Source organism: Homo sapiens, chromosome 9 (genome assembly GCF_000001405.40).
Source record: "Homo sapiens chromosome 9, GRCh38.p14 Primary Assembly".
In the NCBI taxonomy this organism is placed as follows: domain Eukaryota; kingdom Metazoa; phylum Chordata; class Mammalia; order Primates; family Hominidae; genus Homo; species Homo sapiens.
In genome coordinates, this window is record NC_000009.12 from 37,997,420 (window position 1) to 38,018,813 (window position 21,394).

The 21,394-nt window shown below is 52.5% G+C and overlaps 1 protein-coding gene across 1 annotated transcript in view, besides 8 other annotated features; it reads right to left on the minus strand.

Annotated features, from left to right (window-relative positions):
• SHB (SH2 domain containing adaptor protein B) overlaps nucleotides 1-21,394 on the minus strand; it is a 153,330-nt gene that overhangs the window by 81,522 nt on the left and 50,414 nt on the right. Inside the window, exon 2 of the mRNA NM_003028.3 lies at nucleotides 18,592-18,712. Within this exon, the coding sequence (NP_003019.2) occupies nucleotides 18,592-18,712 (121 nt within the window). The remainder of the gene's footprint in view (nucleotides 1-18,591; nucleotides 18,713-21,394) is intronic.
• Nucleotides 259-760: an enhancer, noted in NCBI's record as "H3K4me1 hESC enhancer chr9:37997675-37998176 (GRCh37/hg19 assembly coordinates)". NCBI's record gives its function as "activates a minimal SCP1, AML or CMV promoter by ChIP-STARR-seq in naive H9 embryonic stem cells {active_cell/tissue: H9 hESC(naive)}" and the evidence as "EXISTENCE:reporter gene assay evidence [ECO:0000049][PMID:30033119]".
• Nucleotides 5,931-6,000: an enhancer, noted in NCBI's record as "active region_28408". NCBI's record gives its function as "activates an Ori minimal core promoter by ATAC-STARR-seq in GM12878 lymphoblastoid cells {active_cell/tissue: GM12878}" and the evidence as "EXISTENCE:reporter gene assay evidence [ECO:0000049][PMID:35858748]".
• Nucleotides 10,753-11,047: a silencer, noted in NCBI's record as "tiled region #5136; HepG2 Repressive DNase unmatched - State 5:Enh". NCBI's record gives its function as "represses a minimal TATA promoter and a strong SV40 promoter by Sharpr-MPRA in HepG2 cells {active_cell/tissue: HepG2}" and the evidence as "EXISTENCE:reporter gene assay evidence [ECO:0000049][PMID:27701403]".
• Nucleotides 11,168-12,109: an enhancer, noted in NCBI's record as "H3K27ac-H3K4me1 hESC enhancer chr9:38008584-38009525 (GRCh37/hg19 assembly coordinates)". NCBI's record gives its function as "activates a minimal SCP1, AML or CMV promoter by ChIP-STARR-seq in naive H9 embryonic stem cells {active_cell/tissue: H9 hESC(naive)}" and the evidence as "EXISTENCE:reporter gene assay evidence [ECO:0000049][PMID:30033119]".
• Nucleotides 12,676-13,308: an enhancer, noted in NCBI's record as "H3K27ac-H3K4me1 hESC enhancer chr9:38010092-38010724 (GRCh37/hg19 assembly coordinates)". NCBI's record gives its function as "activates a minimal SCP1, AML or CMV promoter by ChIP-STARR-seq in primed H9 embryonic stem cells {active_cell/tissue: H9 hESC(primed)}" and the evidence as "EXISTENCE:reporter gene assay evidence [ECO:0000049][PMID:30033119]".
• Nucleotides 14,183-14,242: a silencer, noted in NCBI's record as "silent region_19915". NCBI's record gives its function as "represses an Ori minimal core promoter by ATAC-STARR-seq in GM12878 lymphoblastoid cells {active_cell/tissue: GM12878}" and the evidence as "EXISTENCE:reporter gene assay evidence [ECO:0000049][PMID:35858748]".
• Nucleotides 19,467-20,230: an enhancer, noted in NCBI's record as "OCT4-NANOG-H3K27ac-H3K4me1 hESC enhancer chr9:38016883-38017646 (GRCh37/hg19 assembly coordinates)". NCBI's record gives its function as "activates a minimal SCP1, AML or CMV promoter by ChIP-STARR-seq in primed H9 embryonic stem cells {active_cell/tissue: H9 hESC(primed)}" and the evidence as "EXISTENCE:reporter gene assay evidence [ECO:0000049][PMID:30033119]".
• Nucleotides 19,913-20,207: a silencer, noted in NCBI's record as "tiled region #8282; K562 Repressive non-DNase unmatched - State 7:EnhWF". NCBI's record gives its function as "represses a minimal TATA promoter and a strong SV40 promoter by Sharpr-MPRA in K562 cells {active_cell/tissue: K562}" and the evidence as "EXISTENCE:reporter gene assay evidence [ECO:0000049][PMID:27701403]".

Consider the following 21,394-nt stretch of genomic DNA (forward strand, 5'->3'; position numbering starts at 1 on the left):
CTTAGGCCAAGCTCCAATTCCTTGGAAGCCTTTCCTGCCTCCTTTTCCCCTGGAACCTGAGTGATCGAAATACCTCTGTGGAGGTCCCCACAGCGCAAAGTAAAGCCCAAGACATGTCAGACCTGAGTCCACATCCACTGGGGCTTGGATCTCATTTATGTCAATCTCTGGACGCCCAGTGTAGAAGCTGGCACAGGAGGGTACAAAATGACTGCAGAGTGGGCAAAACTCCTAAAGTACTGCTACCCCAAGTTATCTCATCTTTGTGGTTGGCCTTCTGGGCTGTCCAGCTCCACCACCTCAGGACTGGAACCCTGTACCTCTCACATCACAGAGACACGGAGGCCGAGGCACTCTGCTCCATCACCCCAGGGCAGATGGCCAGCTTATCAAACAACAGCTGTCCAGGGCGACAGCAGCTTCTCACTGTGTGACAAGGGCAAGTGGCAGAAAGGACAACAAGGCCCTGGGGGCCTGAGGCCCAGGAGGAGACCCTGCTAAGGGGCAGAGGGCCCTGGGATGGGATGGGGATGAACAAGAGTGATGCTTCTTCCTGGCTTGTGGTACCCACTGTGTCCAACCGAGCAAGCAGAGGCAGTGGCAGGACAGCCCGTGTGACAGGCACTTGCTGCATTCTGCTGTGGTGGAGCTGCTTTCTCTTGTAAAGTGCCGCCGTGCCCAACTGCCTGCTTGTAAAGGGGAGCGCGACGGGGATTTACAGCATTCCTGTTGCTCTGAGCTCTGAGTTACGATTCCAAGGCACCAGTGGCCGGGAGCAGGCAGCTTGGAGGGAGGAGGGAGGAGGGAGGGAAGCACTAGGGCCAGGGCCCCAACACAGTACTGAGCTGGACCGCTATCCTGCTGGCCTGGGCTTCCTGACCACCAAGGACTCCATAAACGGTAAACTTCCCAGAACTGCAGGCGCCCCAGAGACTCACAACCTCCCCCACCACCCTCAGGGCCAGATACATGGTCTCTGCATCGCCTGTTTTCAAATCCAGGAAAGCACATGTTCTGATGGTCTCAAAATCCTATTTTGTTTATTTATTTAAAGACAGGGTCTGGCTCTGTCACCTAGGCTGGAGTGCCGTGGCACGGTCTCAGTTCACTGCAACCTCCACCTCCTGGGCTCAAGCAATCCTCCTGCCTCAGCCTCCCGAATAGCTGAGACTACAGGCACACGCCACCACGCCCAGCTAATTTTTGAATTTTTAGTAGAGACGGGGTTTCACCATGTTGCCTAGGTTAGCCTCAAACTCTTGAGCTCAAGCTATGCACCCTCCTCGGCCTCCCAAAGTGCTAGGATTACAGGTGTGAGCTGCCCTGCCTGTCCTCGAAATCCTATTTTGAATGCTTATTTTTCAGGGACAAACAGGAAATCCAAATGATTAATATGTTTGCAGCCATTAAACTGACTTCAAAGGCAAGGATGAGATGGAAGCAGAGGAAAGGCCCATTTTTCATCCAGTTTCAACCAGCTCTTCCCAAGAGCCAAGCTCTGTGCTAGGCTCTGGGGAACCCACTGTGAGTCACTCAGGCCCTGCCCAGGCTGCTGGAGGAACTCAAGAGCAAGGCAGAACAAGAGGGAGGAAGTCCCTGCGGGATCACAGAGCCCTGGGGAGCCCCTCAGTGAGGAGGACAGTGAGCGTTTACACAGGAAAGCAAGTGGGTGATGGGGTGCTGCTGGACCCTGGGAACCCTATAGGGTGTGGGATTTGAGGAAGGCCTGGAAAGTCTGGGCTCAGATCTGAGGAACCCAGTGGAGATCTCTGAGCAGGAAAGTAACATGATCTAGCCAGGCCTGGGAAACTCATCAGGGGACAGTGAGGAGGGATCTGTGAAAGGCTGAGACTAGCAGGCGAGCTGATCTCACTCTGTTCTCAAACCTCCTAGCTTCTCTCCTCCCTGAGGTCTCTCTCCTGCAAGGGGTGAAGGAAGCCTGCTGCAGACTCGGGGTGACCAGGAGCTCAAATGGCTGCTCCACTTTATTCAGCTGATGCACATGCAAAATGACAGCTGTTTCAAATACACTAAAAAAAATTATTTAAAGGTATATATGCTACAATTAGGCCCAATTCGAAAGTAGGCTTCTGTGGAAAGATATCCCCTAGGGAGGCTAGTGTGACTTGAGCTCACAAACAGGTTTCTGGAGTGCTGAGTGGAAGCTGCAGACACCAAGCGCCGCATACTGAGTGGAGGTCTGACAGAGACTGGGGACAAACAAAGGCAGCCGAGGCAGCAGCCCAACCACCAGCAGCACGTGGGAGGCTTCTGTGTTCTGGGAGATTGTGTCCCTGTGTGCATCCAGCGTGTCTTTGTGTGACTGCCACCACTACCAGGACAGGTTAGCACTAAAGTCACCTTAGGATCTGGCTGAAGCCTTGACTTCAGAGATGGAGAAACTGAGGCATGCCTTGTCCAAGCTCAAACCGGCTGTCGGAGGAGCTGCAATTCACTCCTGCAGCCTCCAGCTCATGACTCTCTCCACTAGTCACCCCATGCCCTCTACCCCCAGCCCTGTTCTATTTGGCCATTCAGAGATTTACAAGATTCCAGTATGAATCACAGCTTTGTGAAGGCTGACAAGAAGAGCCACGAGGCTGGGGCACCACACCTGAGTGGGTGGTTTCCATTCCTTTCCACAGGCCCAGGGCTGGGTCCTCAGGACTTGCACAGGTAGCTTCAAGGAGACAACAGAACGGATGTCCATCCCTCCCACAGGCAGTGGAGAGAGAAAAGAGAGGGAGCGAGAAGTCAGCGAGAATTGCTGCTGCTGGCAGACCAGGCCAGGCCAGACCACAGCTTGAACAACTGAAGGAGACCCCAGGCCTAAGCTCTTTGCTAAAGCAGGGACTCTCTAACCATGGGACCATCTGTCCCAGAGCCATGGAGCCATGTATTACAGTGCAAGTTCTCGGGCTTCAGTGAGGGCCTCTACAGGATGGGGCCTAGGAATCCGCATTTTCACCACTGCCCACGACCTTGCCCTTGTTTCCCCATGTTGACCATGGTACCAACTGACCCTGGAAGGCCCTGCACTCATGGATCTTCAGGGCAGCCTGCCCTTCACCTTGACCCAATGTGGTGAGCAGAGCCAGGGGGCGGGGGCATTCTCCTGAGCCTCCCATCCTCTGCACTGTGTGCTGATTCCCAGGTGGCGCTGTTCCGAGGCCGGGTGGGCTGATTCTGTCTGCAACGCTGGGCTAACCTGTACAGTCCATTGGGAAATGCAGTGTGATTTGGCCTCCAAAGTCTTTGGGGGCTGCTCCTCAATTCAGTCCTATAAAGTGCATGGCATTTGGCCCTCGGAAGCCCCTCAAGGCTGAGAGGCTTTACTTGCCACATAGGAGCCCCAGAGCCAGTTGGGGTTGAGGGATCTCACAAAATGAACCAAAATACTGCCCTGCAGGTGCCAAAGCCTGGCTTTTAGTCAGGGTGCTGGCAGAGTGCTTTAGTCCTGGTTTCCTATGTGACTTCGGGAAAGTCCCTTAGCCTCTCTGAGACCTCATCTCACCATCTATACAATGGAGATAGCACCACGTGTCCTGCCTGTCTCGCCAGGGTGGTGTGAGAATCCAATCAGCAGGGATGTGCTTGGTATGTAAACGCATGGGGCACTGTTACATGGCTTTTTGCTCTTCCTTTTTTCTTTATTTTAAGCATCAGGGAAAAGTTAATTCTTTTTTTCGGTTTCAGAGACCAAGTCAACTCAGAGGTAAATGGACATTCTTTTTCAGCAGCAGGCAAGAAAGCACTTGCATGGCTGATACCTGGCTTGCCCCTTTCTCCTCTGAAAGGCAGGGGTCCTTAGGTAGGCAACTCTGAATGGCTCTTTGGTAATCCTGAAATCTCAAGTGAGCCTGTGTGTTTACATCAGTACTTACAAAGGGAGACGGAACCACCCTTGTCAGGAGAGGAGATAATCGTCAAGCACACCTTCCTGGCAAAGGCACCATCGTGTAATTAAGGACGATAATTACAGCTCCATGGCTAGTGTCAAACCCAGGGCTCTGTCCAGACACAATTATGCCTTTCCTCACCCTGAATGGGAAGACATGCAAGGCTCTTTGTGGGCTGGGGAGAGCCTGGCCAGTTCTGTCCTTCAGACAAGGATGGCTTCTCCAGGCCAAGCCCTTTGGACGCTTTGACCTGGAAGCCATGTCCAGGCGGGTTGGGTTCGATACTCTCCAAGTTAGGTCTTCTGCGGTCCTGCCTCGCTGCATGGTGAGACCAGGTGCCAGGGACACTGAGGCACAAGCAGCCTCTTAGAGTGGGAGGAGACTGGCTGGCCACAGAGGGTTAGGGTTAGTTCCCTTGGAGGCCACATCCTTGCTGGCAGAAAGGTTCTCTCCCAGCGTCTACCATGGAGTTAGAACAATGACTTGAGCGCTTGGCAGTTCACCCACACTTACCCGCTGAGACCTCTGTAGATAACAGCCCAAAGGAGATGAACAGGAGAGAAGAGAAAAGGCCATCTGCATCCTCCCCATGAGCTCCAGAGAGCACGAGTGGTGGTGAGTGACTTTCATCCACCCTGATCCCACCTCACAGGACCTGGCTCTGAGCACAGACTCTTTTTAATGGAAGGGAGGGGAAGGGGACAGGGACTGATGTGATATAGCAAAGAGACCCTAGCTCAAGCCCTGGCACTACAGCTGGCTGACCCTGGGTGGGTCACTTCGATTCTCTGGTTTTCCAGTTTGTCTATCTTAAAAAAAGGATAGCAAGGACTGCCTCCAGGGTTGTTCTGAGGATGAAATGAGATGTGAGTAGTCAGCAAAAGGAGAAATAAATATAAATGGTGATAGCAATAACCCCACACATATAACTGAAGGCCACAGTCTTGGAAGAAATTAGAGAAATGCCAACAATCTGACAATATTAATTAGAAATTTCTACAAAGCCATACGTGTCCTGAAACAAAGAAGTTTTCCTCCTAAATGCTTAAACAGAGAGGTGGAAAAGCCATCACTCCCTGCAGAGGACCTAGAGGACAGGAACCCTGACCGACCTGGACAGGGTTCCTACAGGGGAAGGCAGGGCAGGAGGCCTTGCTTTGAAAGAGCACTACCGAACCACGTGAAACACATAAGAAGGCATCCTAGTGACTGGAAGGGGCCCTGGGCTAGGACTTCAGCTCAGGCCACCATTCAGGGGACAGTTGTGAGAACCCTCCTCCCACACCCTCCTCACCCTAGCCCCACCACCATCTGTCTAGTCCCCCAACCTAGCTTGGCTCTAAAATTCTCTCTCTGTGAAAGAAGATTTCCAGAGAGGGGAAAGGTTCTAATGCCCAAGTTCAAGCTTTTCCAACAGCATCACATACAGTTCAGTTAAAAAGTGAGCTAAAACCAGACTGTGAATTTTAACTGCAGTACTAGATCCTGCAGACTCCAGGACCCTGCATCAAGTTCCCTGGGGTGGAGACCGTGAGTTTTAAGATCCACCCTGTCTCACCCCAAGAAATCACACATTTCTGCAAATTTGGGAGCCAGACCCAGGGCATAGGGCTGGGGCCCAAAAGGCAGCCAGAAACTTTTTATTAGTACGGAGCCTTGGGAATTTACAACAAATCTTGGTCCAGATGAAAATTAGTTTCAAGTCTAGGGGTAAACAGGCTGGGCTATTAATAAGGACCAAGCCCTTCCTCCTAATTTCTGGGTGTAAATTAGACAATAATTAAAAATATTGTCTAGTTTCCTCTGAGGATCAGCTGGAGGACAGCTCACTTTGCATGGCAGCCTGGGCTGTGCTGGGGATGAGAGTGAGAAGGGGGCAGGGATGGGCGAGCCAAAGGCATAGGGACCTGCCCCAGGTGGGTGCTTTTCACAATTCTGAGTCCCCTTCAGCTAAACACAGGACCTCCTTGGGTTCTGTCCTAGGCTGAGGCCTCTACTTCCTTCCAACTCCACCCTTGAACCCTGGGGCTAGGCCATGCCCCTCGCTGCAACCGCTTCCACCACCCTTCCCACCCAGTCCTAACCAACATCCACCCCTAACCAAGCAGAATGGGCCACATCCTCCCCGCGGCTCCCCGTCCCACGAGGGCAGGGTTCTACACCCACACATGACAGCAGTCATAAGCCACATCCCAGTGGACAGCCCTCCTGAGGGGAGGGCCAAGGTGGGCTCCACCTCCCAGCCCCTGTGCTCGTTGCAGTGCCCAGAACAGCAGGGCTTCCATGGATTCTCCACGAAGACCCTCCAGAGCTTCACCCTGAAGGGGAGGACAGGAGCATGGGGCCGGGCTGCCCCTCCTCTATCTTACATAGCTCTGACACTGTCCCAACTGTACTATGTCCCTCAGTGCCCACTGGAGCAGGCCACTCAGTGGCTCAGCACTAACCCTTCCCCCAGTAAAGACTCACTCAGCAGAAACAGTTCTCCGTAAGGTAAAGGACACAGCACAGAAATGGAAGCAAATCCTAGAAGAGGTCAAGGAAGGGAGGATGCTGTCGCCCACCGGCTGGTTCCCAATTGTGTGGGGTGGTGAGGCTGTTGCTGGGGGCCTCCTGGCTCCAGGCCTCTGCTTCTGTTACTGGGGAGGGCAGGAGCTGGCCCGGGGGATCTATCTCAGGCCCATGTGCTTCCCTCAGCCCAGGGTCCATCCGGCCCATTGACTGCCTGCCCTGCTCCTGCCTGGGCTTTGGAACACAACTCCCAGGTTCCTGGAGGTGCTCCCAGGCCCCCAGCTGTTGCGGAAGCCTCTGCTCCAGGTTTCTTACTGGAAAATGGAAACAACCCAGGCGCTCCCTCCCTGGGCCTTAGGGAGGCTTAGGAGAGATGCTGTGAAGGGCATGAGAGCACAGGGCTTCAGTAAACACCACCTGAGCAGAAAACTGAATGCCAGCTGGCCTGGTTCTGCCTTGAGCCACAGGCACCTGGGGAAAGCAGCAGATCGGGAGCCTGAAGCATGCAGAGGCTTCTGGGGAAGGTGAACCTGAGCTGCTGGGGGCTGCGTGGGACTCGGAAGGGAAGGGCCGCGGTGGAGCTGAGTGAATAAAGATCTGCTGAGGAGGTGGGCGCCCCCCAGCCCACCCTCCCAGGGCTGTGCTGGCAAAGGTGGGGGGACCAGGCCAGAGGTGTTCTGAACTGGGCAGCAAGAGGCTAGAGCTGAAGGCAGGCATGATGAAGGCCATTCACTTCAGGAAGTTGAGGACTCCAGAACCCAGCCTGAGGGGCAGAGGGTGGGGAAGGGGGACCCAGGGGCCAAGAGAGGCCCACTAGGGCAGCATGAAGACTTGGAAGGCCCCCGACCTGGTGAGGAGTTGCCAGAGAGGGTAGCTTCACGGAGGGCTGTGTGGCTGGGGGCACGGGCACATGAGTGCATGTGCCAGCGTCCACGCAGAGACTCGAGGCTTAGCAGATGGGAAGGAACACGGCCACAGGCCAGCAAGTGAGAGATCAGCTGAGGTGCCAGGGACAGGATACACACTGCCCCATTGGCCAGGGCAGAGGTGAGCCGGCCCAGCAGGCATGAGACCCAGTTCTGGGAGCTGAGAGATTTGTGGGGGATGTTTACTCACCATGTGCACACATCATTCCACCAAAACCAGCAAGTTCTGGATGAGGGGACATTCTTCACCAGAAAGTTCCAGGCCAAAACCTCAAACACAGGGCACCGACAGTCTGAGCACAAGACACCCTGGCCCCGGCCTGTCCTGTCATCCTGCCCTCCAGGGGTTCCCAGTCTAGCAGATACATCACAGTGGACATGGTGAGGGCTGTGACGGCATATGGACAGAATGGGGTGACGTGGGCAGTAGGAAAAGAGAGGCCCAAAAGTTGAGGCTTGGGCTTGGGAGACGGCCCCTCTTTCGGTGCTTTAAGGTGGCCAGGTACAATTACACGCCTATACCCTGAAAGGGAGAGTGAAGAGGTGGCATTTTATTTCCTTCTGCTCAGCTGCCTGTTTTGGAAAAGGACCACAGCCAGCCCTCACTAACCACAGGAACGCAAACGGGCCAAGCTGGCTGAAAGGGAGAAGGCAGGACTCTCCAGGAGATGGGGAAGAGCACTGAACCTGAGGCACCGGCTACATTGCCGCCACCAAGGGAGGACTCAGACCTGCTGTTACTCAGCATCCCTCCCTTGCATCACCAGGCAGTGATCCCTGTAGGGAGAAGGGGCCAGAAGTCCTGTCAGCCACCAGGACTCAGCTTTCTCATCTGCAAAATGGAAATCATCTCATCTGCTTCCTCTCGGAGCCTTAGGGAGAGTCCTGGTATCATATATAAAAGGTACCCTTTAAACACAGACTGCTGTCATCTCTGTAAGTTTCCAGAAAGCCAGCCTGAGCCCTACTTAGAGGAGAGTACTAATTAATTAGTCAAATAATAGGGTGTGGGGCAAATCACGGAATCTCCTCCTTCAGGCTTCTGAAAGGCAGGAACTGTGGCCGGCTGTCTCCTTGGCCACTCCCTGCATACTACTCCTCTCCCCAGACCAGAAACACAGGCCAGGACTTCTCATGGTGGCCCCCAGGTCCCTGGAATAGTTTGGGGCCCTCCTCTGATCTGACTCCAGCACCTTCCCTAACACATGAATGCATTCAATCTCTCCCAAGCACCTAGCTGGCTGCTCCCACCTCAAAGGTGACCACATCTCAACTCTGACTCCTCCCCAGGAACCTCCCTTCCCTACTCAGATAGGACAGGCCCCATCAGGTGACTGACTTTCCCATCCTCCCACTAACAGAGGACCCCACTGGTGGTGTCATCCCACCCTCTCCTCTCCCTTCCACACAGCACCCACTGGCTGGTGGGCCCTTCCACCACACCTACCCTGACTCCACAGCACCTGACCTGGCCTAGATGATTGCTATAGCCTCGGAACCATAGAACCTGTCTCCCTGCCTCTTGCTAGGCGCTGCAAGATTCCATCCCACACTCCCAGGCGGGCCTGTTTTCCTAAATGACTTCCTAATCGTGCCACACCCCTGCAGTGTGGGTTTCCGCAAGGTTTCCACACCCTGCCCAGCACGCAGGGAGCTGGGCGGGTACAGGATGCAGGAGCTTTGCTGCAGATTAATCTGAGTCTCCCTGAGCCTATTTCAGGACAGGTATCTCCATCAGTTTCTGCACTTTCAGATCTTTTAATGTCTCTCTGGGATTCTGAAATGCAAGGCTGAGGCAGGCCTGGGGAGGTGAACTCCTCCATTTCACATTCCTATTCCTGTATTTCTACCTTGGGTAAAATGCACGTTTCTCTCACAGCTGCCAGGAAAGACAAGGAGTTAGGGATGTGTTCCGAGGGGCCTGAGCCCTCGCTGACAAACGCTCAGCAGGACTGCAATCTGTTTGTTGGGCCCTCACATCTATGAGGCTTAGTGCCAGCAGCACGGGGAAAACCAATGGCAACCCTCAGGGCCCGTGCTCCTCTACTGGGGCCAAGGACAGAGGAACACACCTGCCAGCCACTGGGCCACAGCTGTCCCCCTTATCCCCAGAAGACAGCACTGAGACCATCCTTCCTACTGAAGGTGGCCCTGGCCCTGGGGACAAGTCTCCACTCAGCTCCTGACTTTGAGAAAGCCCCTGAATTCCAGCCCTTGATAACCCGGAGCCACAGCATCTAGTAAATGAGTTTCGGGGAATCATGGGTAGGCTACTGCCACCTTGGTCCCTCACTCAACTGTTAACTCCATGAGAACAACTTTGTTTTGTTCATGCATAGACCCGGGAGCATAGAACGGTGCCAGCACATGGCAGGTGCTCACAAATAGCCACCCAGTCAATGAATGAATGCACTGCATTTTTCCCCTGACCCAGGCCCTGTGACTTCAAGCAAGCAAGTCACAGCAGAATGGGAGAGGCTGCTTATAGTGAGTATTTGTTTGTTTCCTTTTCTTTCTTCTCCATACAGACTTGCATTCCTATACTCATTCATGCAATCGGTGAATATTTACTGGGCCCAGAAGAGAAATGAAGATGGGTGAGGACCAGTCCCTTCCTTCACGGAGCTCTCGGCCCAGAGAGGGAAGGAAAAGAGGCAGAATCAGCTATCCCTATGCAGTCCGCCGGCTGCGGAGACAGAACTGGTCAGAACGCCCACCCAACTCCCACCCTGACGCCAAGGCAGCCTCCCTGCCCACCTAGCAAGTGGCTAAACTCAGACTTTCCAGATCTGGCATTCTTTGGAGGAGGATAGGAGGTCCCTGGGCTCCTGAGGGGCACCCAGGACTCTGTGGACCAGCCCAGGTCCCAGGAGTGAATTAATGCACTCATTCATTCAACCAGTGTTTACTGACAACCTACTTTGTACCAGGTACTTCAGGTTCTAACAGGGAACAAAACCTATATCTCTGCCCTTGTGAAGGCCACATCTCAGCAGTGAGACAGACAACAAACAAGGGAAATGTAAAAAAAGTATGTAATATGCTAAATAATGACAAGTGTTAAGGAACAACATCAGAGAGGTGGGGGAGGGGTGGAAATGTAAGATAAGTGGCCAGAAGGCCTCCCTGAGGAGGTCATTTTGAGTCAGGACCTCAAGCTTGGCTTTGCTGGGATGCTGCCCTCTTTGTGCAGCACACTTTGGTCCCAGAGGCTGTACCACTCCTTCTTCTGTGTTCTCCAAGACCAGATTTCTCTCTCCAGTGTAATTTTTCTTAGTTTGTTTTATACTACAGACATCAAGTGTTCTCTGGGCCCCTGTCCACCTTCCCCATGTGACAGGAGCACCTGGAGGGCAAGGACCCTCAGCCCACAGCGGGGGTGCTATCAATGACTGTCTGCTCTCCTTGGCCTATTCCAGGCCTGCTGCAACTTTCCTGAAAACCTGAACGTGCTCAGTGTCAGGGGTCAAAGACAAGAGGGGAGCCGGGGTGAGAGAATAGGAAGTGGCTCCTAGAGTGGGCCCGCTGGTCGCCATGGAAACCCAGGCTTCCCACTTCTCTCCCCGCCCACAGCTCTGCGGGTGAGCACCACTGGGCTGGGTGTGTGAGCCCTGCTGTTTCTTAAGAATAGGAAAGTCATCAGGTGACTAATATGAAATCTATTTACACTTGATGATCTCCTTCCTGTCCGGTAGGTAAGTCATTCTGGCAAATGACAGACCAGCCAGGGAACTCTGCACAGTCTACGACCAAGCCTGCTACCTGCCAGGCAGGAGGATTGACAACAGATTTCACAACATTTCAAAATAAGGCCCAGGAGCTCCAGGATGGAAGTCAGGAGACTTGCCCTGTGGCTTGCTGCTGTGTAAACTTGGCTAGTGCACAACCCTCTCTGGGCCTCGGGCAGGAAGCCTATATGGGGCCAGAAGCACTGCTCCTCAAGGACAGTTCCATCCTGCCATGATCCAGCTGGGGGAGAGCTGTGACCACCAGGACAGGCTGAAGCCTGTGGTGTCTTGGTGGGGAGGGCAGGCCAGGGAGGAGCTTGAGGCCTGGAGAGGGTGAGAGGCAGCAGGACAGAAGGAAGTGAGGGGGCTCAGGGTACAGGCTTTGGGGAGCAGAGCTGTGCAGGGAGGCAAGTGTGTGGACATCCTGGGAGCAGAGTCCACGGCACTACAGAGCTGGGGCTGGGAATGGCCTGGACTCAGGACCCAGACAGAAGGCCCTTTGCTTTCCCAGCTCAGGGGAACAGTGCTGCCTGGAACCAGGGGTCAGGGCTGACGGCAAATATGAGAGGAAGGCTGAAGTCTCAGGCAGGGTGGCCAGAGGCAGCTTCTCTGACACCCAAGCAAGACTCACAGGCTCCTTTTTCTGAGAAGCATTTGCCGGTCTCCGGGAGAGTTCATTCCAGAATGAGAGAACAGGAGCCCTAGGAAGGGCCTCTAGAGCTGGCTGTCCAGAATGGTGTCCTGTCTGTCCTGAGAGCAGAGACAGCAGCATGCATGCTTTTGGGAGGGGCTGAGGCTGATGCCACATGGAGGTGGCTGGGGGTGGGGCAGGACCCTCAGGACTGTTAGAACCAGGCCTGACAAGGGCAGCTGGAGAAGCCCAGTGTGACCGCAGAGGCGGGTAACCAAAGGATTTATGAAGTCACTCCAGACCCATGACCTCTAAGAATCCTCTTGACACCCAGTGAAGGAGGCAGAATCTGATTTTAGAGATGAGGGAACTGAAGCCCAGAGAAGAGAAGCAACCTGCCCAAGGGCAGAGCCAGGGGCAGAGCCAAGGCTAGAACCTGTACTTCCTGCCTCCTTTCTCCTGAAACACAGAGGCCACAATTGGAACATCGTCTTTAACATGATAAACCCCATGATTCTCCCAGAGAGCATGTTGCCACTAGAAGAGGCCACACCAGAGGATGAGAAAATACAAAAAAAATCCCCTCTTGCCTTTAAAATCAGTGACTGGCTTCATCTGGACGGTGCCTACTAGCACACAGTTAAAAAGGGCAGAAGGCCAGTTGTAAGCAAGGAAAACAGCCACGTCAAAGCAGGGGGGCTCTGTGTGAAATGACTTTAATTTCCTCTTATTAGGCTATAAAGTTGATTTAATAATAAAAACATGCTAAGGACTTTTTAATGTGTAATTGCTTACATATTAAAAATTATGTGAAAATGCTTTCAATTAATGCTTAAAGATTCATCCTGTGAGATGACACTTTGAACAGTTTTATAAAGGATGCCAGAGGAAGGGTTAGTAACATCTAAAAAGGCGGCCTAAGTAACTAAATTTTCCAATTATTCCTCAGACTCTGGGGAACACAGGACAGATGAGAGAGTGTTTTAGTTGTAAGCGAGGGCTCCAGAAGGTGCATCTTGGTTCTGTTTCTGCTGCTTATTTAATCTGAGGCTCAGTATTCTCCTCTGTAAAATGGGGATGATGAACATCCCTATACCTCATAGGCGAGGATTAAGTGAGCTAATCTCTGGAAAGTACTTGGAGCAGTGCCTGGCACACAGGGAAGCCCTTTGCAAAAGCTAATGACTGTCATCCATGCCACCATAACTCCTTGGTTACCTCTGAGAATTCCTAGGGCTGAAGGCCAGTGAAGAGACGATCTCAGGCACAAAAACACGCTGTGCCTTTAGGTTAACTTGGGCTTCCAGATCCCAGTCAGTCTCTACATGCTCTTGCCCCATGAGATTTTCCTATCATTATCCCATCAAAAGCCTCATCTCCAGCCACTCCTCTCTAGCAACAAGGGCCCACCTCTATGCTTTTCTCAAGCTTTTCCCTCGGCCTGGGATGCCTGACTCAGTTCTCATCACCGCCACCTCCCACAACCCACTCTACTTGGATCACCCAAATTGGAAGCCCTTGTTCCCTCCTCTGAACTCCTGGAGAGCCACATGCTCATCTCAGTGCACCCACCACTGACCACTCCAGGTCCATGCCTATCTGCTCTGTGGATGTTCCTGGAGGGCAGTGGCGGTATCTGCCCAGGTTATTTGGTGTAGTCTCCAACACAGCCCGGCCTGGAGCCCCTGCAATGACCGAGCGCACTGCAGAGGGCCCAGGGACCACCTGCTCCAGCACTGGCAAGGGTGCAACCTACTTCCAGGTGGGTAGGTGATCCTACAGGGAATAACTAGAGAATTCAACAGCACAGCATTCCACAGGAAGGACAAACAGGCCCTCTGTCCTCTAATAACAACAATCTTATGCACATGTGCAAAGTTTGTTTTCCACATGGGCATCAGGATCACAGGCCCTATTTTACCATGACACCACGGCTCTCAGTGGGCTAGGCACCCTGACCTATCCAGGCACCCAAGTCAGCCTGATCAGTGTCCAGCGCCCTTCCTGCTGCATCAGCAGGATTTCATGCATCCGGGGACCTTAAGCCTGGGATCAAGACCTGGGGAAGAGGGAAAGAAGGGGCTGTGAAGCTAGCTGCCTGATCACTGCCTCAACAGGAGGCTTGGCCTGGGGATTCCAAATACAGAGATGATGGGGCATGAAGGGAACCCAGAAACGCTCTGGTACTTTCTCTTTAAATTGTACACAAGGAAACTGAGGCCCAGATGGGCAGCAGGGCATAGAAAAGGCCAAGACCAGAATTTGATCTTGAGAGACGAGTCAAGGAAGATGAAAAGGGGAAATAGGACTGAACAATTAGCCAGGCCAGCACTGAGAAAGGAAGCTGCCAGCCCTACCCAGATCCCTCCTATTCAGTTGGTCTCAGGTGCTGTCTTTGTGGGGCTGGTCCTGGGTGACTAGTGAGTCACTCTGCTTAAAACGCAGATCACAGTGAAACATGGCATCCTGGGAGCTCAGGGTTAATGCAGACCTCAGAAGTCGCTTGAGCCAGCCACCCATCTGAGACTCAACTCCCTTTCATGTCACTGCCCAATGCTGGCTGTCTTGCCTCTGCTCTGATACCTCTGGGGATAGGCAGTTCACTGGTTTACAAGACAGCTTCACATTTAATCAGTGGGTTTTAAAAAAAATCTCAAAAGGATTATAACTTCTTTGAGCCTCAGTTTCCCTATCTATAAAAAAGAAAGCTTGGACCAGGTCACTAGTTCTCCAACTAGGTTCCATAGAGCTGTAGGGTTTAAGGAGACACCCCCAGAGATGCTGCTGGGGTGAGAGAGGCGATGGGGATGGCAAGTGAGGCCCAGACAATTGGGCTCGGAGGTTTGTGAAGGGCTGAGCATCCATCTTGGAAGCAGAACATACCTCCTGCCGGTGACACAAACTGGAGCCTGTGGAGAGGATAAGCTGAGGCATTTAGAGGGCAGGGGTGAGAGGAGCCCCTGGGAGAAACAGGCACACTTCCTCACGCCTTCCATCCTAGCTGTAGTCCACAGGGCTGGGCCAATCTCCCCACCACCTGCTGCATGGAGCCAAGGGACACAGAGGACAAAGCCTCGTCAGTGAATCACTGCCCAAGACGGCTATGCTGGGGAATCTGAAAACCAAACTACAGTGCACCAAGGCTGGAGAGGCCCTGGAAAGAATGCTCCACATGATGGTTCAAACAGGCTAGGAAGTCAGCCCCACAACTGACTTACCAGCTGGGACGTCTTGGGCTAGTTTTTTAACCTCTCTGTGCCTTGGTTTCTCCATTAGTCAAGTGGGCAGCCTATACTCCAAAGGGTAATGGTGAGGACCCAGTTAAGAACTGACATCAAGTGCTGTAAGCAAGTACTAGAGAGCTTACCAGCTGCCTCCCCGTTGTTGTTATCACCGGCCCCTCATTCCATATGTAAGTAAATATGGGGGCATACAACGTGCTGCCCATCGTCGCACAGCCAGTTAGCAGCCCAAAGCGGCTAGAAGCACTAATGACTGCCTGCTCTGAGGCTACTGCTTTGCAGGGGAAAACCGAGGTCCCTGGGTCATTCAGGTGGCAAGTGACCATCCCATATCTGCTTGACTCCAGCCCACGCTCCTCCTGTACAGGTACGCCACCTGCGGCACACGGAGGGCACAGCCTTCTTGTCAGCGTTATGCTTACTTATTCAAGATGATGCCCTGTAACTACAAGTTACACGCTCACATACACATAAAATGTAATATCATCCAAAAAGGATCATTCTAAAAGGTTAAACTTTTTCCATGTCACTCCCACTCCACTGCCATCACCAGCACCACTCTCTCTTCCCCCACCATCTCCCCTTCGAAAAGCTTCACGTCAGCTCTGCAAGCCTCCTGGAGCATCTACGCACTGATGGCTCATCCTACCCATATGCAGCCCTGCCATCAATCACTGGGGTGACGCCACAAAGAATTACACACAAATAATTTTGAGTCAAAGGGAGCTTCAGCAAGGATCGTTACAAACAGAAAACACCCCTTTTAATAACCTATATTCTTAAAAATAAGAATTGTGGGTAAACTAGGGCACAGCTGCCAAGCTAGGATGCAAACACAGAGCAGCATATGCTAGAATGCTTCTTTGGAGAGAGAATGCATGAGGTCTTTAAGAGGTTCTAAATCAAACTGCCTCAATCAAATTGCCCTGCCTTGGACCTAACCCCATGGGGTGTACCCTCATTTAAAAGGCAAAGTCGGTGCAGTGGCTCATGCCTGCAATCCTAGCACTTTAGGAGGCCATGGTGGGAGGATTGCTTCAGTCCAGACCAGCCTAGATGACACAGTGAGACCCCGTCTCTACTAAAACTACAAGAAAATTAGCCTGGCACGGTGGCACGTGCCTATGGTCTCAACTACTCAGGAGGCTGAGGCAGGAGGACTGCTTGAGCCTGGGAGGCGAAGGTTGCAGTGAGCCAAGATTATGCCACTGTACTCCAGCCTGGGCAACAGAGGAAGACCCTGTCTCAAAAAAAGCCGAAGTTCCTCAGGTAATTTCTAGCCAGGTGAACAACTACTCACCTTTGAGGTCTTCAGCAGCACCCAGTAGGGAACTCCGGCTCCATTCCTAAGGCACCAGGCAGGGGCAAACCCTCCATGAGACTGGGGCTCCCAGCAGATGCCCTCTCCCATCCCCCTTCCATTCCCGAGTGTGGACTCCTGTAACAACATCCTGCCTGTGGCTCCATGGGACCTCAGCCCCTGTCCCATGTTCTGCACTCAGGGCAAGCCACTTACTTCTATTGGTGCGACTCCAGGAAAGGAGCCGAACCTCTCAGTTTCCCTCAGCCTCATGATGAAGAAACATAATGAGGCTTAATGAGGGTATATGTCAAAGTGCCCAGCATGGAGTCTGGTCCCTGGCAGGGGCTCCTGCCATTTCCTCATGTCTAGGTGCCCCAGCATCTGATGCAAACACTACACTTCCTTCAGTACCCCACCCCAAAGTTTGCAAAGCGCAGGCCATACTTTGTACTCTGCCATCAATTCACTGTGCGTCCTCAAGCAAGTCTCTGTCCCCCCCGCCCCAACCTCAGTTTCCCAATCTGTAAAATGAGGCTGTTAGGTTTAGATGACCTCAATGATCCCTCCCCACCCTGACATTCTGAACATGACCCAAAGTCGCTCCTGTAACCACTGCTCCTTTAAACCGGAGCCAACGCCTGCTGAATGCAAGACTGACAGAGCTGTAGGGAGGTGCAGGCCGCAGGCCACAGCCCAAGGGCTGGAGCTGGTCCTGGGGCTTCCACAGAGCTGGTGTCTCACCAAGCCTGATGGAGGTGAGGGCATGCACTGGCTGTGGTTGTCGCAGGGCCCAGGCATGCATCACATCTGTGGTGAGGACTCCCCCAGCCAGCCTGCTTCCCTGAGCCACTGGAGGACAGCAGGCTGCCTTCCCTCAGGACCCCAGATCCAAACACAAGCTCAACTCTTGGCCTCTTGTTGCCCACTGAGGCTGCTTTGCCAGAGGAGATTAGAAAGATGGGAGTGGGCATGAGAGGGATGCTCCAGAAGTCTGGACCTAAGTCCCTCTGGTCCACTGCTCTCTGCCCTGGCCCTCACGAAGTGGCTAAGTGTTCTGGAGGCCACACTGGTGGTCAGAGAATCTCCTTCCATGAACAGGAGGAGCAGGAGGCAGAGAACAGCAAAGGCAGAGCCTAGAAGGTGCACCCAGATCCTTCAACAATCAACCTGCACGGCTACACAGCCCTATAAGCTGACGCTGGACATGGACCCGGCACACGCTCAGTGCTCAGTAAATGCCGCTTCCTCTCCCTTCTTTCTCCTAATTCAAGAAGGAATCAGGAGAAGGTGCTCAAAGACAGGAATGCAAAAAACCAAACAAAAACCAGACAAACAATAAGAGGGCCACAGAAAGAGGTATCTGTATCCCAAGTGTCCAGATACACAGGGTACCAATTTGATAGGCCTCCAAAGCCCAGGCAGCCCCAAACTTGCTCCCAGCCACTCTCCTGCACCCTGCAGCACAATGTGCTGATGTGCCCCTGCCCATGGCACTGCCTGTGTGGGGTCACAGGGGCAGCCTACACAGCTGCTCTTCAGTGTCTGGCCTGCCCTCTTGAACCAGGAGAAGCCACAACAGGGGTTTCCCTTTTGCTTGTGACCTCCCCCTAATCCTGCCTACAAGATGACTGATGTCTGCTAACCCTTCACTTCTTAAAGATGCTCCAAGTCTTGTATTATCCTGGCTAAAATAGGCCCCCAGGATGCTGCATACCCAGCCACATTCTTCTTGACTCCACACAATTGCTTTGACAAGGTTTTGTCATCAAGGGCCAACAGGAAAACAGCCACTGGGGGAATGTCTCCATGCTTCCTGTAAACCTGTCATGTAGACCAGGGTTATTTATGCTGCTTCCAGCTCCAAAACAAAGATTTCTCGGGATGCGGCCAGAAATAATTTTGTCTCTACTAGTAATCTGGCCAGCTCTCTTCTACTAAGCAACGAAAGCCAGGTGACCCAGCCTGCTTCCCTTTTTGCCCTGCCTACTACGAAGCTCTAAGTAAAGTTTTATGTCTCAAATGCTATCTTTCTTCACTCAGAAATTTCTGATAGAACTACTTTTTCTCCCTCCTCTCCCCACTTACTTCTTGGCCCCTACCTTTGGTTAACTGCACGTGATATCCTTGTATTTGGACTCTCATGGTGCCCGGCCAGTTTTTTTCCTAATATAGGTGAAACATAAGCAGGTAAACTGTGGGGAAGACTTAATACAGCATTGCTCCCACCTACCAACTTGAAAGCACACACCATGCCCCCAGTGAGGCTGGTTGGGGACCACCCGGCAGTGCCCTCACTCCCTTTCTACCCCTACAACCCCAGCTGTGAGCCCCTGCGCTTCAGCTCCACTTACCTGTCATGATCCTCTGTGCCTCATAGGGCTCCATGTAGCCAGCACTCTCCCCCTTTCCTGCTTTGCTCTTGAGATCATTCTTGGCATCAAAGGGATCTGAGTAGTCATCGGCTATGGTCACCTGCAGGGAGGAAGATGGCAGGTGTGAGTCCACCTTTGGCTTTTTTGTTTCACATCTCTTCACAGCTAGGCTTTGGGCCTCAGCTAGATGAGCAAGGAGAGGCAGGGGAGGCAGGAACTAAAGCCGGCGCCCGGACTCAGGGAGCTCCACATCTCACAGGGGTAACGAATGGGACCCATACTGGCAGGGCTCCACTGCGATGAAGAGCCCTCTGAGCTCGTGCATGCCTGGCTGGCTCCAGGCACAGTGAGGTGAGAACAGAAGGGCATCTGGTGAAGGTAACAATGCACACTAAGCATGGAGGCGAGAACCTGGAGGGCATCCTCAGGGAATGTGAGTTGCTCGGTTTAATGGAATGGAAGTGGAGGAAAAGTTGGAAACGAGATCACAGAAAGCCTAGAAATGCTGACATGCTCCTGGTGCTGGCTGAGGCACAGAAGAGTTTGTCTAGAGATAATTAGCTCGGCGTTCCATTTCCCCAGACCTGGAACATAACCACGCCTTGGGTCATCAGACAACAATTTGGTGAGATCAACTACATACAAAGATCACTGTGGCCCCAGACAGACCAAATAAAAACACAAAAGCAGCTCAAGGATCGACAGACAGCCAGGGCCAGTAAGGACCTGAAAGCAACAAACCCAAAGACCCCTCGACAACACATGGGTAAACTGAGGTCCAGTGTGAGCAGAGGCTTGGCCAGATCTTCTGCCTCCCAGGGCCCTGCCTGAGCTCCCCACTTGTCTGTAGTCCAGAACACAGCCCCTGCCTCTTCTCCCCAGAGAAAAATTCTCCAACTCACAGACAAAGAGTGAGTCACCTGGGGGTGGGGGGCACTCCCATGAGAACCTGAGTATCTGGGATTCTAACACTTCAGAGACCACCGTTCCACGTTTTCCCTGGAGAAGAGTAAAAATTCTCGATTGCAGGCTCCAATTAAACATGGCAAGTGTTCCTCCCTCTTTTTACTTCCTAACCTTTAGGAGAGGCACAGAACCCACCGAATCCACGCCCCTCCTGCTTAGCCCCGCTTCATCATAAACTTGTCCTGGGACTTCCCTCTTGCCCTTTTTGGTCACATTTCTGGCAAAGACCAAGCCCTCAGCTCCTCAGCCAGTGCCACCCGGCTGCTTCTCTTGGGAGGGGGCAGGTTAGCGTTCCTCTCAACCCTTGGGGTTACATGAATTGTTATTTAAATTGTGGGTTTAATTAGAAACCACAGGAGCCTGTTCTCTCAGCTCCTGGAATGTAAGGCATTTGAGGGGCCTGCAAACTCAGGGGAAGGGAAAATCCCCCTTTGTCTGCCTGGTAAATGGCAGCTTGTGGCAGCCGTCCTGGCAGGGTGAGCAAGTGACCGCCAGCTGCCAGGAATGTGATGCCCGGAAAGGGACAGCAGGCGGCAGCTCTGTCCCTGGCAAGTGGCTGGAGGCCAACGGGAGGTTTAGCACACAGCGGTCACTGCTCCCCAAACAAGAGAAGCTCATCAGTGAAGACCGAAGCCCAGAGTGCCCAGCACTGGAGCATCTATGGCTCCCGCTGCCGCTACTCCACCACTTTCTCCGTGGCTGTGGCTCAGGCTCTGAGTCCCAGTGGGGACCCAGTAGGGGTGGCTTCCAGATGCTGACATTGTAATGGCAGCCTTTCTTGAGACTCACTGAGCTCAAATGACACCAGGCCAGGGAAAGAAGGGGTGGGAGAGAGCTAGGCCTTGCAATGTCTTTCATTTGCTATTTCTACTCTACCATTTGCAGAATACATTAGGGAGAAAATTATACACATAAACTGCTGTCAAACGGAACAGTTCAGATGCTGGTCAGGTGCAGGGTTTTGTGTCTCAGAGTTCAAGGGGCCAGACATCCAAATGGAGAAAATGAGTTGCTGCTGTGGATGACATCTAATCTTATTTCTCTTGTCCCAGATTTCCTCACTGTCTCTCTTCAACATGAACATGCTCCATCTATTTTGCAATAAGGAAGGGAAAAAATGTCTCCCCTGGAAAACAAAATCATTTGGGGGGATTTGCTGGCGGGGTGGGAGAGGCAGTTGGGTTGCAGTCTCCATAGTAATCTAGAAATCGCCATTCCAGCTCTCAGAAGTGCTCTGTAATTTGCAAACACAGAGGTTTGCAGGATATAAACCAAATCTTTGTTTGCCCTGGGACAGGAGTTCTGGAAGGACTGTGATTCAGCAAGTGCTACCTATATTTTCTAATTAAAATGAGATCTGAGCTCAGGCTGTCATGGAGCTGCGGCTGCCTGCTCCACTTACTTCCGTTTCAGTAAGAATGTACAAATCCTAAAACCAGGAAAAGCCCCTGGTCTCTGCTGACATATGGTTCCAGTTATACCTGCTGACAGTTGAAAATCCTTCCATTGAAAAAAAAAAAAAAGTCTAGAATTCTGTTAGTTTAAGAAGCAAATTGGAAAGTTCCTAAAATGTATATTTAATCAATTTGCTTTTGAACTTCAAAGTGAGGTTGGTGGAGGGAAAGAAATTTGAGGTTTGAGCAACCTGAAACTTTGCAAACACTACACTGAACTGTCTGATCTTTTGCAAAATGATGTCCTAGTTTTGGGAATAAAAATTCAACCAGGTGTTAGGAGAGTTGAGCAGGCAGTCAACCAGAGTGCCCTGTGAAGTACCATGGGCCCCAGCCATCAGGACTGGGCAGTGTGACCACTG